This window comes from Homo sapiens, chromosome 8, assembly GCF_000001405.40.
Source record: "Homo sapiens chromosome 8, GRCh38.p14 Primary Assembly".
NCBI classification, from domain to species: domain Eukaryota; kingdom Metazoa; phylum Chordata; class Mammalia; order Primates; family Hominidae; genus Homo; species Homo sapiens.
Genome location: NC_000008.11, coordinates 110,878,155 through 110,898,378, shown reverse-complemented (window position 1 = coordinate 110,898,378; position 20,224 = coordinate 110,878,155).

Sequence of the window (20,224 nt, the reverse complement as noted above, 5' to 3'; positions counted from 1 at the left end):
TAGATATATCATCAACTAGCCAGACACTAGAAATTAAAGATGTATGTAAATAGTATGTATGCTTTTGTAGCATCACATAATTTTGGCATACTTTGAAAAAAAAAGGTGTCTTACCTCTGCTGGAACCCCCATCAAAAATGGGAACTAAGTTAAGGAATTCTTAGATGCACTCCTACTTCCCAGAAAGGTGCCTATTATAATAATTGTGTATCATGCAAATAATAATAAAAGAGTTAAATGGAAGCTACAGAAAATGTTCTAGCCAATTATTATGCCAAGATAAATCAGTATTAATCAAGGTTAAGAGTCTATCTAAATCTTCAAAGAATAATTCTCTGGAGGAATTCAAAGAGGTAATTATAAATCTTCTACATTTAGCCCCTGGTTTTCCAGAAGAAGACAAAAAATAATCTGATTGTAACCTTTACTCTGATCACATCTGATACTCAAAGCAGCTGCTTGGCGGCACTAGATGATTTCACATGGATTTTAGATAAATTTTGCCATGAAACTACTCATCATGGTATAGACTCATCACTTACTATTTTAGTTTATGTTGGTAAGAATCCCTTAAAAACACAGCTGAGGTTATTTGCAAGTCATTTATCACCTGTAAAAAAACATAAACCTAAAAAAAAAAATAACGGTAGGGCATGGCCAGAAACCAAACCCCAAGGGACCTTTGAATAACTTCAGTTGAAATTTATACAGCTTCTACCCTCCCGGGGATTTGAATATATTATAGGATGGTTTGGAGCATTGTTCGTATTAGAGATGAACTCTTTAAACACAACAGAAAGGTCAAGAATTTCTGGCAATACAGTTTACTATAGAGATAACTGAACAGTCTCTGAACAGTGAGGACCTTAATCTCTAGGCTTCCAAGTTGTTTAACCTCACACCATTAGAAAATGATAAAAAGCAGAAGACTAAGAGACTAAATGTACAATGGTCAGAACTTATATAAAAACAGCGCTATAATGCACAAACTCTGCAGCAAATCCCTTGGGAACCAAACCATTACCTCCCCACAATGAGCCAAAAGGGACCAAGAGTTGATCAATAACTTGCAGCTTTCCTAATTGTTTTCATTTTCCAGAGGGATCAGATAAACCAGAGAAAGCTGAATATGCTCGTTAACCAAACTAATGGAATGTTCCACCTCTATTTAGCCTGTCTTCAACTTTTTCATGCTAACAGTCTCCAATCGGAGGTTACCTGAAGTCTTTTTCCACTATCAAGCTTGCAAACTGGCCTGCCTGCTACTGAGTCTCTATCAAATACAAGCGGTGGTGGTTGACTCCCTTGCCTTAGCAAGATTTGGATAAATAATTTTTGCTTATCCCATTTGGGTGGTCTTTGTTTATTCCCACATCTAACTAACCAACATTTAATTGAACGAAGTCTTTTTTTTTTCCCACTTGATGTAAAATCTGGTTCCTATGAAGAATGTTAGAGTTGTTTTTATTAGCAGTGTACACTAATGCCAATATCCTAATTTATACTATATTCAAGCCACGAATCAGCTTGAAATCATAACTAAATATATTCATTTAGTTCATTTTAGAAATTATAGAGAAGCTCATGGCCAGGCTTGCTTTATTCCAGATCAATGGGAGAATCAAAAAACAGGAGTCTATTATGGTGAGACAACAACAACTAAAAAACACTTACATAGTAGCTAAAAATGAGGTAATTGAGTAGAATATGGACTCTATTCCCATCTGACCAGTAAAAAATTCAATGAACCATGGCTTTGGATTCTTGGAGTGAAATTTATTACTATCAAGGGTTGCACTGAACATAGGAATTAAAGGAAGTTCAAGAATTTCAAGTGAAGCTAGAGGGATTGAGAGGCATAAGGAGATCTAGTCGTTTATTTGAAATTTTACATTTTTAAGTAAATTTTAGTAATAATGTGCTGCTTCCAAAGCTGAATATTAAATTCTTAGTTCTAGAGTATTTAACTCTATTATTCTACCCTGAAACAACCCTTGTCAATTTCCAGCCCCGCCTCAGTCCATGTCAGTCTTGACCTCTTTTTGGCAGGTATGGACAACCCTAATGATAAGAAGATCCTGGCAGAATTAAAACTGTACCATGGTTCCCAACACTCAAATGCAACGCTCTTTCTAGTGTGCCTTGGAACTCCAGGGAAAAGTTTATTTGGTAGAATGAAACAAATCAGTGTGTATAATTTAAATTGCATCAAGCAAATAAAAGAATAAGAACTACATGTAATTGCATTATCTGCATAAATCAACTTAGCAGTATTTTTAAAATAAATTCAATAGAACCTTTTTGTGACTAATGCATTGAGAGTTATGTAACATTTATCAGATGTAACTTTTATGTATCACAAAGTCTTTCCTAAAACTAAAAAATATATATATTTTTCCACATCCTTGAGCAACATTTCACTCTGTGATAACCAAAAATATATGTGCTTAGTGAACTTAATCCACTGAGCAGTATTTTCACAGATATTTTCATTTATACCTGAAGTATATTTTAAACTTTAAAATAAGTTACAGGGCCAGAGAATTTTGAAAATTTCTTCCTCATATATAGAAATGAACATCCATTATTTTTATAAATATAAAATTTAGGGGAATCCAAAACTTTTCTTACTACTACGTGCATTTCTATAATGAGTAAAACTTTCAAATCCTTTACAAAGCATAATTATATATGCTTATAACAATCATTTTAAGTTAAAATATTGTGAAGATAGTTTATTAACACATTAACTAATGTTATATAGATTTTAAAATGTTCACTGTATTTTTTGTGCTTCATGTTCTCAGTTACCACTAAGACTCATATCCTCATTATGAACAGGGATTCGACAAAGTCATCTCTGTTTTTTATTTTACTTCAAATTCTGCATTAAAAAAATTACAGCTCTGTGAAGCTCTAATAATAGTTCTTCATCAAAATATTATTTTCTTATGCCAGAACATGAGGATCAAAAGCTAAGTAGTAAGGAAGAGTATAAACGCTGATTTATCAGGCTGATGTTACCATTAGTATTATTCAGATAGCTGATTACACAATTTTCAGTTCTACTCTACTTAAATTCTGTTGTATGATTAAAACATACATCCCATTTAAAAATAAATCTGTTCAATATTCAGGTCAATGATTTTACATAGAATCTTTATTCAATTCTTAATCAGTGCTAGGATGAATCTTAAAGTGTCACTGGCAGAAGGTATTTTACCTACTTTATTAGAATTCAGACATTTATCTTAAAGACAAATGTCCCTGACGGTGAAACATATTATTAGAAAGAGTACTGGGTGGTGAAGTAAAAGATCATTGATGAGGAGCATCTGGGGAGTGCCAGAAGTGGCTCTGAAAATTATAACATGATACTTTGTGGAAAATGATTCCACAAAGACAATATGTGTAAGGAACATGGCTGTGCTTTGGTCAAGGATAGGCCAAGGTAGGATGTTTACATCATGTGTGACTCAGCGAGTTTAGAGAGCAGGCATGTAACTCCACTAGTTATCACAGCCGTGCAGCCACAATGCGGGAAGGCTGTCCTTGGCCCTATGCCACTATTGTCAGTAAAAGGTATAACTGCCCTGCTGACACTGTGCACGGGGCTCAGCTCAACATGGCTTGACATGGCGGGCATGCTGGTGCCCAGAGAAAGAGAGGGAGCCAGAGTTGTCCATCTTTGCAGACAGACAGGGGGAGCCAGGACATAGCATGGCTCTGCTTGTGCCCAGAGATGAAGAGTTAAGCTGCTGACCCTGAAGGCAGGCTGTGTAGCTGTGTGTGGGAGCCAGCTGCTGAGATGAGTCACTGGACTAAGCAGCTGAGACAGGGCAGACAGTGTGAGAGTAGGCTGCTGATGAGAGCTGCTGCTGAATAAAATCATCTTTCACTTGCCTACGGCCCCCCGAGTGTTCTTTCTGCTCATCCACCCACTCCCTCTGGACCACAGCATAGGCTGGAACCTGACCCTGAACATAACATTTGTCATAGTCATGAACTTGATAATTGGCATAGTCGGCAGGGTGAGGTTAGTAGATCTTCAGCCCTTGGGGCTCCCGGGTCAACTATGTGGCTGAAGCATGGTTTGTGGTACCCGGTGGCAGCGGTGATGCTCGCATGAACCCAAATGGAAACGTGTGAGGCAGTGGACAGGTCTCCTGCAAGTGTGGAGAAAGCACTGAAGCATCTGGAGACACACAGCACCAAGAAGGAATGCCCGTTCACTGGCCGAGTCAGATGGGCATTTCTGACTGCCCTGTGTGAAGTACATGCTCAGTCCCACAGGTAAGGAACCTCCCGGTGAAATGTGCATGCTTGGGGGCCCAAGTGCACATCTCAGAGCAAGACCTCAGGGTAGTGGACTTCCAGGTGCAGGCAGGGCACTTAGAGACTCAGATAAACAATCTGGAGCCAGAGTTGGAAACAGCTGTCAGCACGCCCCTGCGCCCATCTTCCCAGCTGGACACTCTCGTTTGGTCTGATGCTGAGGAGGAGGAGGAAGCTCCTCCTCTGTGGTCTCACTCTGTGATTCATCAGAAGGTAGAATATGAAAAGCTGATGGGACCCCAGAGGAGAGCCCAGGGACCCCCACAGTTACTTGTGGGACTGAGCATGTACTTCACACAGTGCAGTCAGAAACGCCCATCTGACTTGGCAAGTGAACGTGCATTCCTTCTTGGTGCTGTGTGCCTCCAGCTGCTTCAGTGCTTTCTCCACACTTGCAGGAGACCTGTCCACTGCCTCACACGTTTCCATTTGGGTTCATGCGAGCATCACTGCTGCCACCGGGTACCACAAACCATGCTTCAGCCATATAGGGACCCCACACAGTGGTGGAACATACCTCTTATGGTGCTTAAACCCGCACTGAATTGAGGGAGTTGGGTAGACAGTGCTGGCAGTGTCTGAAGGAGCTGACAGAATTTCTTGCTCTGCTTCTGAGATGGAGAAGCTGGCCTCTGTCACAACTCACCCCTCCCTTCATCAACAGCTGCAGCTGGTTGGCACAAGGGCACGGTGACCTCACGGTAATTGAGGGTCTGATGGCAGCCATACGGACTGTTTGGAATGATGCCGGAGACATACCAGAAACTGAGAAAATGGCAATCATATACCGATTTGGTGCAGGTACTCCAGGAGATGAATGTGCGGCAGGCTATGTTTGATCTGAACACCTGGGGGCCAGATAATGAATGCTTTACTTCTCACAAGAGATCTTGTGCTGGGCTCAGCGTCTCCCAGTGCTTTTGGCTCTCTAGCTGCTGTTCTCACCCCATATGTGGGGCACTGAAGTGATTACCGTTATGGTAGCCCTCAGGGAGGCAGAAGACCATCCGCAGGACCGGAGAGTCCACGCCATAAAGAAGGGGAAAGTGCATCCTCTGCAGGTGACCACCCCACAAGATAAAAAGGGGCCCCAGCAGGTGACCTGCATGCAGAGGTCGATTGATTTAATTGCAGGTGGGGTTGCACAAGAGAAAATTGGCAGTCCACCAATGGAATGCTGTTGGCTCTATGGCAGCAACTGTCCCAGAGCAACAATTCCGGAAAATGCCCAAGAGGGGACAAAACAATGTTGCTTAACCCAGCCCCGCCTGGATGCTGCAGCTCAACTTTTTGCAGACAGGCGAAGAGACTGGGCCCTTCCTGTTTGATTTGGGAACTGGCCGAGGTGCCTGGCTCGGTGGGGGGAACTGGACAATCAGATGCTATATGTGGAGCTGGCAAGCCACTGGTCCCCCACTAGTATACAGAAGGTCCTAGCACTGGTAGACACTGGTGCAGGCTGCAGTCTAGTTTATGGGAACCCGGATAAGTTTCCGGGCAAAGCTGCATTTATTGACGGTTATGGCGGCCAGTCAGTGAAGGTGAAACCTTTGTCTTTGCATCTTGTCATTGGCTGCTTGGCTCCCTACCTATACACTGTGTATGTCTCTCCCATACCTGAATATATTCTGGCGGTGGACATTTTGCATGGTCTGGACTTACACACTACAGTCAGATAATTCAGACTCCGAGTTCTTGTAGTAAAGCTGATATTGCATGGATATACACATCACCAGCCCCAAGTTTTGCCACAACTCCAATGAGTTACCTCCATTCATCAATACCATTTTCCTGGGGGTCATATGGAGATGACTGAGACTACTAAGAAGTTAGAGGAGGTGCAAATAGTGCATGGAACACATAGCCCCTACAATTCTTTGGTATGGCCAGTCAGAAAGTCTGATGGGACTTGGTGGATGACAGTGGATTATCAGAAGTGAATAAAGTAACACCCCCTTGTGAATGCAGCTGTACCTTCCATCACAGACTTGATGAACCATTTGACAATGGAACTGGGACAGTACCACTTATAGTGGACTTAGCTAATGCATTCTTCTCCACTGACATTGCTCTAGAGAGCCAGGAACAGTTCACCTTCACATGGGAAGGACAGCAATGGACTTTCACTGTGCTGCCACTGGGCTATGTGCATAGCCCCACCATATGTCTCGGTTTTGCTGATGATGTTATAGTAACCTCTGATTCTCTTGCAGGTTTAGAAGCGGCAATGCTCCTCTTGCCTGGAATTGGGATGAAGTGGTTGAGACAGCCTTCCTGGTAGCCAAGCCGGCTATTTAGCAGGCACAAGCCCTATGGGTAGTCGACCAGGGGTGCCCATTTAAGCTAGATATGCATGTGATCACAGATAGCTTTGGTTAGGGCCCATAGCAGTGCATGGAGAGCCTGAGTACACCAGTAGGTTTTTGGTCCCAACTATGGAAGGGAGCTGAGCTCCAATATTTGTTGATAGAGAAACAGTAATAGAAGGATGGATGCATTCATGGGTAAAGACCCCCAAGATAGGGACAGCACAGACATCCACTTTAGCAAAGTGGGGCATCTACTTAGAACAGCAGAGTATGCTGAGTATAAGTCCCTTAGCAGCAGAGTTACAAGAGGTTTTAGGGCTTGTATTCCTATGCGAGATAAGGTCATGGGGCCTGAGGCACCCCTAGACTCTGAGCCATTACTTTTTAAGGAAGGGCATCCCCCCATTCCTAATGAGGCACGGTATACAGATAGGTCTCGCCAGAGTACTACTGCTGCCTGGACTGCTGGTGCAGTCTAGCCCACTACTAACACCATATGGTTTCAAACCAAGTGTGGACAAAGTAGCTAATAAGCTGAACACAGGACAATGTAGATGGTGATCACCAAGGAGGTGACACCTATGGTAATCTGCAGCAATAGCTAGGCAGTTTATTGAGGCTTAACTTTGTAGTTAATTACCTAGAAATTAAAGAAATTAGCTAGTTAGTCACTGACTTATGTGGGGCCAGGTCATGTGACCAAATCTATGAGAGGAAGGATGACTTTCTCCAACCAGGTATGGGGACGAAACGTACTCTGTTATTGCCTGCCTCATTGCCCCTAAAGTTTGGGAAACAAACAAACAAAAAACTGATGTTAGCCATGGACCCTCCAAGCCCTTCATTGCAGATGGTTGGCTATCATAGACCCCTGGGGAGAGGGTCTAAGTATGACTGACATGTTACTCCTTGGGTATTTAATGTGTGGCCTCCACAATTGACTTTTTATAAGCGAATGGCCAGGAAAGGAACCCTCCTCAGAGAGACATATATACTGTCTATATGGCCTATCATAAGCTCCCCTATGACTTTGGTATGTGTACAGGACCCAAAAGAACCATGGGGAGCTGATAAGGTGTGGTATCATTGCCCAGGGCAGAAGCCCTTGGCAGCTGCATAGTTATCCAGAGATGAAAAGTTGGCTTGCATTTTGTCTAAGGGATATGATTTACCCTTGTTAGTACCTTGCTTGCTTTATTGTTTCAGCCTTAGCTTGGCATGCTCCAATGGCATCATGGACTGGGCCCACATCTATGCTGAGGTGACCAATGTCTCCAACTGTTGAATCTGCACCACCCTCCCAGCAGCAGCTGCAGACAGCTTGCCCTGCCTGGCATATGCATCCAGCTTCCATGCAGAACTGGACATGGCTAGACACTTGAGGCCCCATCGACAAAGGGTTGGGATGCAACGTGGCAAGCTTTGGATTGCGGGCATCACAAAATCCATGGTAGGCTTAATACACAGTAACTGGTTTAAAGAGTACCTCCCTTTTCCCTTTACATTTTTGTCTCAGTTTTAACTATCACTACATGAAAAGAGTTGATTGAATTTCTGATACATACATTTTTATTAATGTATCCAATAGCAAATTTAAAATGGTACATTGAGGGTGGTTGTGATGGCTCATGCCTGTAATCCCAGCATGTTGGGAGGCCGAGGTGGACATATCATTTGATCCCAGGGTTTTGAGACCAGCCTGGCCAACATGGTGAAACCTCATCTCTACTAAAAATACAAAAAACAAAAACAAAAACATAGCTGGGTGTGGTGGTGTGTGGCTGTAGTCCCAACTACTTGGGAGGCTAAGGCAGGAGAATCACTTGAACCTGGGAGGCAGAGTTTGCAGGGAGTTTGCAGTGAGCCAAGATCACACCACTGCACTCCAGCCTGGGCAACAGAATGAGATTCTGTCAAAAAAAAAAAAAAGGAAATTTATTTTTTGTTTCTTCAGTAACTCCAAAGATTAATGTACACATACATTTGATATGAAATAATTGTGCAATAGAATTATATTTAAAAAGAACCTGAGCTTAAACTTAATGCCGTGAATAATATGCATGGGTATGATGACAGCTTAAAGGCTTTATTTTTCTATGTAGCCTTATATATTCAAGAATGAAAGCATGTTACTTCTTCTTCAAATTGTTTCAGTGGAAAATCATCTTTCCTCCAAGCATTATAAAGCCATCCAAACATTTTCTTGTAATAATATCTACATTCAGAGTAAACACAAATATTCTTAATCTCTGTTAATAATCCATTTTAACTGTAGTCAGTAACCCTTAGTTTTGGCTGTACTTAGTTGTCATCCTTAAATACCAAATAAAATCAGTGTTCCAATAATTCTCCCAAGTTAGAATAAAATTTTCTTATTATAATATTTATTCTGCCTCAAAAGGATTTTTCACAGGACTAATTTGATCAATATTTGAAGTAGTTTTGCATGGTGGAAACTCTAAATCATATGTAGTTTAAAGATGTATAAAACGTGTTTAGAGAAAAACTCTCTCAAACCACGTTTTTCCTTTACTCTCAAACCACCACGACAATCATCAACACAGAAGAAGACGTCTGTGGGCAAAAATCTGGGTATTTTCTTTTTCTGTACATGAATCAGCAGACACCAGGTGGGTGTCCTCCAATTCAAATTTGACACTGTCTACCAGAAAATAGTGTCAGATCCCACAGGTAAGGGCTTAGTCCCCAAGGCTGCCCCACCCCCTTCAGACACCAGTGCACCTCCAGGCCTCTGGAACTTCTGACCGACTGGCTTCATGTTGGGGTTCCCATGATCTCCTTTTGGGGTTCTAGCAATTTTATAGAGGATACAGATGAAGACATGCCTAGGGTGGGGTATGGGGGAAGGGGCGTGCAGTTTCCATGCCCACCCTGGGTGTTCCACCCTCCAGGAACCTCTGTGTGCTCAACTATCCAGAAGCTTCCTGAACCCAGTCCTCTTGGGTGTTTATGGAGGTTTATAATGTCAGCATTCCTTCCTCCAGGGTATAGGAAGGGGCCCTCTCTGGGGAAAGACTTAAGTCCCAGAATCAGAAAGGCAGAGGAAGATTACATTTCTGCCATGGGGCAGGTGAAAGGAGGGCAGGAGAAGGTCCAAGAGATGCTGTTTCCTGAGACCTAACATACCCGATATTATAACAAAAGACTGTAACAAGGGCTATGGAAGTTATGAGCCAGGCAAACTAATATATATATATAGTTATATATATCTCTCTCTATATATATATCTATATATATAGTTATATATAGATCTATATATATCTATATATAACTATATATAGATCTATATATAACTATATATACTATATATAGTTATATATAGATCTATATATAGTTATATATATCTATATAGTTATATATATGAACTATATATATAGTTTATATATATATTAGTTTATATTAATTATATTATATATAATATATATTATATATTAGTTTATATTAGTTATATATATTAGTTTATGTTATATAAACTAAGATATATTATATATAATATATATAAACTAATATATCTATATAAACTAATATATATAATATATATAAATTAATATATATTAGTTTATATATATATACACACATATATACATAATATATAGAGTAGTATCGCTTATATGTGTGTATGTGTATATATAAAATATTATCGCTCATACATGTGTGTGTGTATATGTGTGTGATATATATATACACATATATACACACACACACATATATATGAGCTATGAGCCAGTAATCTTAAAACAAAACTATATGAGATATATATATATATATACTCATAACACCACAAAATGTAAAACAAATTGTGCTAGAAATTTCACATAAAATCATCTCCATATAAAAAAGCATATTATATTTGCTTTACTTTAGGTTAAATATTTTATGTTAAGTGTGCACTATACAAGTTATTTAAAAATGTAGAAAGTTATGTGAAAATTGTACAATGACTGTATATACATTATTTTGCATTAAAAAGAAAAATTATTCACCTGGAAAATGCTTATTAGGAGGTTAAGAATAGAAAATAAGATTATGTAATGTAGAAAATGTCTAAACTTTCCAGAGACGTTTTTTAAAAAAACTATATCTTGAAATAATTTTTCTCAGGAAGACGCAAATAATTGGATAATGAGATCTGACCACCTTTCATCCAGCTACCCCCATCCAACATTGACATTGTGCATCACTATGGTTCAATATCAAAACCAGAAAATTAACATTGGTACAATTCATAGAGCTGGATTAAATGTCACCAGTTATACATGCACTCACTTGTGTGTTTGTGTACATTTAGTTATACAATTTTATTACATGTGTAGCCTTGTGTAAATATCACCAACATATTGATCTATACCATCACAAGACACCATCAATTTATCCATTATAGCCACATCCACCTCAGCAACACTATTGTTGTTACTTGACAACCACTAATCTGTTCTCTATCTATATATTATATTATTTGGCACATGTTATATAACCCAAATCATATAATAAATACCTTAACTTCCAGTTTAATGGAATCATTGTTGTGTCTCCTGGTGGCAGTGTTCCTATGTCTGGAACTAAGACCTCCAGGCCAGCAGAACGTAATGTCCCAGGAAAAGGAAGCAACAATTTTGCTAGTGGATTACTAGGGGTGATGGTGGGTTAATCCAGGTTGTTGGAGTATCATAAAGTTCATTTTAAAAAAAATATTTCTGAAACATATTCCATGGTATAAATGTTGTATTAGTCATGGTTCCCTAAAGAGGCAGAACTAATAGGACATATATAACTATACATAAAGGGGAGTTTATTGAGTATTAACTTACATGATCACAGGATCCCACAACAGGCTCTCTGGAAGCTTGAGGAGCAAGGAAGTCCAGCTGAGTCTCAAAAGTGGAGAACTTGGAGTCTGATGTTTGAGGGCAGGAAGCATCCAGCACAGGAGAAAGATGTAGGCTGGCAGGGGGGCTAGGCCAGTCTCGCCTTTTCACGTTTTTCTACCTGCTGTATATTCACTGGCAGCTGATTAGATCATCCCACCAGATTAAGAGTGGGTCTGCCTTCCCCAGCGCATTGACTCAAATATTAATCTCCTTTGGCAACACCCACACAGACACACCTAGGAACAGTAATGTGCATCCTTTAATCCAATCAAGTTTACACACAGTATTAACCATCACAAGTCCACCCCTTGCCAACTTGAACCCATACACATCTTCTGGGTTCATAATAAGGTAATAATTATGCCTAACATAATACAACTATCCTTCGTACAACTGAAAATTCACCAATCAATCCCCAACACAAATACTATTACATAAAGTTAACAATACTTAAAGGTTGATATGAAGTCAATACATCTTATGTCACATGATAAAGGAGAAAGGAAATACAATGAAGATTTTTCTTAGTATAAGTGTATACATGCACAAACATTCTTTTAACAATAGAAGGAGGAAATACTTATGACAGTTACAGTCCTCGTTTCTGCAGCTGGTCACGTGGTCGTAGCTGGTATTGATGACTACCTTCTTCTACTACACATTCTGTATTCCCTTTGCCTTCAACAAACACCTCAGCAGGTCATGATTTTTTTTTCTGGGTGGAGTGGCCCAAACTTTCATTCCTGAGGGGTCTGGATCATTTGTAGTCCTGCCTGGACTGGGCTGTTGTAGTTTCCCATTGACTTTAATTACAGGGTATGGTAATACTAAGGGATGCCTTAATGGGTCTCCTGTATTCCATACTTACTCTTCCTTACATCCCTTATGGAGTAGTAGACTGATTTCATTCATCTTGGTAGTCTGGGTCAATAACCCCAGCCAACACTGTAACTCCCTTCTTAGCCTGTTGACTTAAAGGTAGGGAGAGCCCAAAGTGTCGAGGTGGCAATCTTAATTTCCAGTTTAATGGAATCATTGTTGTGTCTCCTGGTGGCAGCATTCCTCCCTCTGGAATTAAGACCTCCAAGCCAGCAGAACATAATGTACTGGGAACAGGAAGCAAGTATTTTGCTAATGGATCACTAGGGATGATGATGGGTGGTGCCACTTCCAATTCCACCCCTTGATTCCTGGACCCATGAATCCTGCCTATGGGAGAAACAGTACCGTGTATTGGATGCTGATTCAGAGCATACACAGCCATCTGGGGAACTTTGCCCCATCCTTGCAAAGCGCTGTCACCTAGTTAACATTGTAATTGTGACTTCAAAAGTCCATTCCACCATTCTATCAATCCAGCTCCTTCAGGATGATGGGGAACATGGTAAGACCAGTGAATTCCATGAGCATGAGCCCACTGCCACACTTCTGTAGCCATAAAGTCAGTGCCTTGGTCAGAGAGAATGCTGGGTGGAATACCATGATGGTGGATAAGGTATTCCATGAGTCCACGATGGTAGTCTTGGCAGAAGCATTGCGTGCATAATAGACAAACCCATATCTGGAGTATGTGTCTATTTCAGTGAACACAAACTTCTGCCCTTTCCCTGATGGAAAAGGTCCAATATAATCAACCTTCCACCAGGTAGCTGGCTGATCACCTCAAGGAATGGTGCCAAATCGAGGGCTCAGTGTTGATCTCTGCTTCTGGCAAATTGGACACTCATCTTGGTGAATGGAAGACCATGTTGCTGAGTCCATGCATAACCTCAAACCCTGCCATCATGGCCACTTTGTTCATGGGCCCATTGGGTGATAACAGAGGTGGCTGGAGAAAGAGATTGAGTGGTGTCCACAGAACAGGTAATTCTATCCACTTGATTATTAAAATCCTCCTCTGCTGAGGTCACCCATGGGTGAGCACTCACATGGGATACAAATATCTTCACAGTTTTTGGCCACTCAGAGAGGTTCATCTACGTACCTCTTCCCCAAATTTCTTTGTCACCAATTTTCCAGTAATGCTTCTTCCAAGTCCCTGACCATCCAGCCAAACCACTGGCTACAACCCATGTATGAGTATATAATCGCACATCAGGCCATTTCTCCTTCCATGCAAAGTGCACAACCAGGTGCACTGCTCGAAGTTCTGCCCACTGGGAAGATTTCCCTTCACCGCTGTCCTTCAGGGAAGTCCTAGAAAGGGGCTGTAGTGCTGCAGCTGCCCACTTTTGGGTGGTGCCTGCATATCATGCAGAACCATCTGTGAACCGGGCCCTAGTCTTCTCTTACTCTGTCAGCTGATCACAGTGAACTCCCCATGAGGCCATGGGTGCAGTCTTGGGGAGAGAAGGCAGGGTGGCAGGAATGGAGACAATGGGCATTTGAGCCACTTCCTCATATAACTTACTTATGCTTTCAGGACCTGCTCAAGCCCAATCACATATATACCACTTCCATTTGATGATGGAATGCTGCTGTGCATTCCACTTTATGGCTAGATGGCTCAAAAAGCACACAGTTCATAATAGGCAGTTTAGGTTGCATGATGACTTGATAACCCATAGTCAAACACTGAGTTTCCACCAAAGCCCAGTAACAGGCCAAGAGCTGTCCCTCAAAATGAGAGTCGTTATCTGCAGAAGAGGGCAGGGCCTTGCTCCAAAATCCTAGAGGCCTCTGTGGTAATTCACCTATCGGGGCCTGCCAAAGGCTCCAAACAGCATCCATATCTGCCACTGACACCTCAAGCACCATTGGATCTGCTGAGTCATATGGCCCAAGTTGCAGAGCAGCCTGCACAGCAGCCTGGACCTGTTGAAGAGCTGTCTCCTGTTCTGGACACCACTCAAAACCAGCAGCTTTTCGGTTCACTTGATAAATGGGCCATAGTAACACACCCAAATGAGGAATATATTTCCTCCAAAATCCAAATAGGCCCATGACGCATTATGCTTCTTTCTTGGTTGTAGGAGGGGCCAAATGCAGCAACTTATTCTTCACCTTAGAAGGAACATCTCAACAGGCACCACACCACTGGACCCCTAGAAATTTTACTGAGGTAGAAGATTCCTGAATTTTAGTCAGATTTATTACCCATCTTCTGGCATGAAAATGTGTCATCAATAAGTCCAGTGTGTTTGCTACTTCTTGCTCACTGGATCCAATCAGCCTAATGTGATCAATATAATGGACCAGTGTGATACCTTGCAGAAGTGAAAAGCAATCACGGTCTCTCTGAATAAGATTATGACACAAAGCCAGAGAGATGATATAACCCTGAGGAAGGACAGTAAGCATATATTTCTTGTTTTTCCAGCTGAAGACAAATTGCTTCTGGTTGGCCTTATGGACAAAAATGAAGAAAAAGTCATTTGCCAAGTCAGTGGCTGCATACCAGATACTAGGAGATGTGTTTATTTGCTCAAACAACAAAACCACATCTGGTAAAGCAGCTGGAATTAGAATCACCACTTGGTTAAGCTTACAATAATCCACTGTCATTCTCCAAGATCCATCTGTCTTCTGCAGAGGCCAAATGGGAGAGTGAATGGGGATGTGGTGGGAATCACCACCCCTGCACCTTTCAAGTCTTTGATGGTGGCACTAATCTCCACAGTCCCTCCAGGGATGCAATATTGTTTTTGATTTACAATTTTTCTAGGTAGAGGTAGCTCTAATGGCTTCCATTTGGCCTTTCCCACTATAATAGCCCTCACCCTACAAGTTAGAGAGCCAATATGTCTCTGCCAATTATGCATTCTGGCACTGGGGAAATGACCACAGGATGAGTCTGGGGACCCACTGGTCACACTGTAAGTTGGACCTGAGCTGAAACTCCATCAATTACCTGACCTCCATAAGCCCCTACTTGAGCTGGAGGACCACAATGATGTTTTAGGTCCCCTGGAATCAACATCAGCTCAGAGACAGTGTCCTGTAGTCCCCTAAATGTCTGATCATTTCCCTTTCTCCAATGCACAGTTACCCTGGTAAAAGGCCAGAGGTCTCCTTGGGGAAGGATGGGAGAAAGATTCACTGCATAAATTGTCAATAATATACTGGGGTCCTTCTTCAAGGGGACCCAGCCTCCCTTTCATTCAAAGGGTTCTGGGTCTGTAAACTGACTCAAGTCTGGAAATTGAGGGGCCGTGATTCTCTGTTTTTATAATTCAAATTAGTCTTTAGTCCATTCAACCTAGAAGTTTTCTCTTTATATAAATTAAGTAGGAATGGAATAGAATTCCTATCAATTTATATTCTAGGAACACTGTGATTAATTAGCCAATGCCAGAGCTCTACATGAGTCAGACTATTCTGACTGTGGCTTTGTCTCTGCTGTCCACTGCAGTAACTACACTCACCTTGCCTTTCATGGCGAGTGCTACCACCTGGCCTCTGCCACCTCAGGATCAAATTATTCCCATTGTATTTTAAGTTTGTAGTTGAGTGACTATGGTTCCCTTTGTTAGATCTGGCATACGGAGAAGAGCAGTTACAGGGCTCTTCAAAGTTGCAGATGCCACCAACACAAATCTATTTTACAAGGCATTGGTCAAGGGTATATCTTCTGGATCCTACCAGCTGGGATGAGTAGATCTAAAGTGACTAATCCACTCCAGCACCCCAATGTCCCTAAGCCTTTGGATCCCTTCCTCTACATTAACCCAAAGGAGGTCAGGCATTTCCAGTTCGCTCACAGAGGGCCATCTTTTAATTCATATCTCAGCCAACCAAGCAAACTATTAGAACCTTTTTTAACTCCCTAAGCTGCAACATTAAATGCAGGGTCCCTATTTAGTGGGCCCAGATCAATAAATTCAGCCTGATCCAACTCTATGTTCCTTCCACCATTATCCCATACCCTTAATATCCATTCCCATGCCTGTTTTCTAGATTTCTGTTTATATAAATTGGAGAACTTAAGCAATTCTTTTTGAGTGTAACACACCTCCTCATGGGTCACTCTCAACCTCACCTCTAGGGGCCTGTCAGGACTTTAGTCTAGTTATAGTTCTAGAAGAAAACAGAGGTGTTGGGGATGGCTCCTGAGGAGAATCAACATTGCCTTGCCTGGCAACTGCCTTAGGGGAGGCCATCACGGTTGGCTCAGGCAGCACAGGGTTTATCTCCTCAGACAAAGGTGGAAAGGCTGATGGCAGCATGAGCGGGAGGGAATGTTGCCACTACTGGGAATGGGGAAGCTGTTCCTTCTGTTGATACAGGTTTGTCAGAGTTTACTAACTCAGCTTCATCAGGGTCCTCCCACACATCCAGATTCCAAGTTGCAGGGTCCCATTCTTTTCCAATCAATGCCCTCACTTTAATAGACACCTGGAGAGACAGTCCGTGCACCTTTTATTGCAGGTCAGTCACTCCCATGATAAGAGCTTGTGTCTGTTTTTCTACAATTTCAGCTCTTTTTCTACAAGAGATAAGACTCTCACTCAGGGCAATCGTAACAGATATGAGGCTCAGTGTCTGCTTCTGAAGCCAGGAGACAGAATGTCTGAGTTCATCATTTTCTTTCATCACTTTGTCCACTGAACTTAGGAGCAACCAACTAGCTTCATTACATTCCTTGGTTCTCCACATATGGTCGAAAGTATTGTGTATAGAATCACTAAACTCCTTACCTCTCACAAGCAGTGAATTAGGAATGTCAAATGCATTTATTTTGCATAACTCTCTAAACAGTTAACACCAAGAACTATCAGTGTTCTCCATACTATTAGAATTAGGGTTCTTAGCATTTTTCAGTCTAATCATATTAAACAGCTAACTCCAAAAAAAAAAAAAATCAAATTAAAGAATTCCATCCTTAATATTCTATTCCTCTAGGACCACTCCTGGTACCAAAATCTGTATTAGGTAGGGTTCCCTAGAGAGACAGAACTAATAGGAGATATATATATATCTCCTATATATATAACTATATATATAACTATATATATATATATATATATATATATATAGTTAGTTAGGATATATATATCCTAACTAATAGGATATATATATATGGGAGATTATAGGCCGGGTGTGGTGGCTCACTCCTGTAATCCCACACTTTGGGAGGCTGAGGCATGCCAATCAACTGAGGTCAGGAGTTTGAGACCAGCCTGGCCAACATGGAGAAACCCCGTCTCTACTAAAAATGCAAAAATTAGACAGGCATGGTGGCAAGCGCCTGTAATCCCAGCTATCCGGGAGGCTGAGGAATGATAATTGCTTGAACCCAGGAGGCAGAGGTTGCAGTGAGCCAAGATCACACCACTGCACTCCAGCCTGGGAGGCAGAGTTAAGACTCTATCTCAAAAAAAAAAAAAGATATATATAATATGTATATATATACACACATATACGTATATATGTATATTTACATATAACATATGAGTCAATGGAATTTTTCACACCAACTCAGTGTTAGCTTAAAATGTTAAATTAATTCAATGTAATTCATCATAAAATACAGTATGTATGCCAGTATGATAATATATATCTAAATTGAAAAAGTATATTTGTATTGTAGACAACAAAATAGAGTATGTAGAAAATCACATGCAATCTGCAAAAACTCTACTAGAACGAATAAGTGGTTTTAGCAATATTTCAGAATATAAGATCAATATAAATAAAATTATTTCTATTTCTACATGCAAGCAAGGAAAAATTAAAAATTACAAAAAGTACCACTTTCAATAGCATCCAAAATAATGAAATACTTAGGTATAAATCTGGTAAAAGTTGTGTAAATTGTATTCAAAATAGTTTTAATTTGGGGACACATTTTTCAGAATATTTTCTTCCTTAGTATTTTTTCACATATTAAAAAGAAACATTAATTGAAATGATAATTAAACTAAAATAATCATTAATCTATTTATATTTTACAGTTTCTAATTCACTTGCTTCTAAATTCAGATCCATATACTAAAAATTAAAAACATTGCTTTTTTATGCATTTTCTCTATACTCTAGTTCTATTTTGAAATTATGAGATCATGTCCTTTTCAGGGACATGAATGGAGCTGGAGGCCATTATCCTCAGCAAACTAACCTCAGAACAGAAAACCAAATACTACATGTTCTCACTTATAATTGGGAGCTAAAATGATGAGAACACATGAACACACAGAAGGAAACAACACACACTGGGGACTTCTGGAGGGTGGAGGTTGGGAGGGAGAGGAGGATCAGGAAAAATAGCTAATGGGTACTAGGCTCAATGCTTGGGTGATGAAATAATCTGTACAGCAAATCCCCAAGACGCAAGTTGACCTATGCAACAAACCTGCACTTGTACCTGTTAAATTAAAATAAAAGTTAAAAAAATGACCATATAGTGAAAAAAAGAATGTTTTTATCTTTCTATATTTTCTATATTTTACAATTTTGCTTCTATGAAAATCATCTAGTTTTACCAAATAAAAAAGTTTTAAAATTAGTTCTATAACACCAGTTTTTACTGATTCCAAACTATAATTCTTAAGAAAACACTCTTCAATTTAAACACGTAAATTGAATTTAATGGTAACATTGTTAGTATTTCAATTTAAATGAAAATGTGTTGGCAGGGAAAGAATGTGTGACCAATATCATAGATGTATATCAATTGCTTATTGTTAGGGCTGCTATTTAAATAAAACTGGACCATGAAACTTAAGTATAAAGGGTGTTAAATGAGCTTATTTTCATAAAGAGCAAAATGCTGTTTCAAATTACACTGTTATGTTTTAAAAAGATTAAATGAGCCATTTCTAAATGGTTCTTAGAAAATATATGAGAAGAATTCTCACAAATAATAGAAGAGTACTTAAATCAGTAAGTGAAAATTAATTTACCAAGTGCTGTGTGATGCAGGAAAGTAGAGGGCGGGTAGTAATTTTGGCTATTAACGATAAACTAGTAGGTTAATTCCTCATTCAATTTCAGAGTTGTCTTATTAATATCTTAATTAAATACATAATGAAATTTGATGAGGCATGATCAGGTTTTGCAGCAAGATGTTTTTATGCACAATTTGAAAGACCAAGAAAGAAATGTTCATTTGAGATATGATCTAATAAAGATATGAGATCATTTGGAAACTTGCCAATTAATCTTGGGCACATGAACAGCCATATTTATTCCTTTCCTTACACCTGCTTTTTGATTATTTGAGACATATTATAATAACTTTGACATACTGTTTAACCATGTTACTGCCATACTGTAAGTTAGATTCTAAATTCTGTAGAATTTAGACAAAATTGAATTATCATTCTGGTTCTGCCAATTATTTTTGAAGTTGGACAATTTATATACAATTTTAGTCTTTTTGTTCTCAATATTCTTCCGAGTACTTTTTGTAGAAAAGAAAGTTTGAATTTTAGTAAAAATAATTTTTTTTATTTTATTGATTATGCTTTACTGATGTATCTGAAAACTCAACACCAGCACCAAGGTCACCTAGATTTCCTCCCATGTTTTCTTCCAGCCATTATATAGTTTTACATTTTACATGTAAGCCTGTGGTCCATTTTCAGTATAAGTTCAATTGTTCCAGCCACATTTTTGGAAACAATATTCTTTCTCCATTTAATCACCCTTTTGCCTTTATCAAAGATGAAGTGACCAAATTTATGTTAGTTGGTTTCTGGGGTTTCCATTCTGTTCCACTGGTTTTCCTTCTATTTGGCTGCCATTATCTTA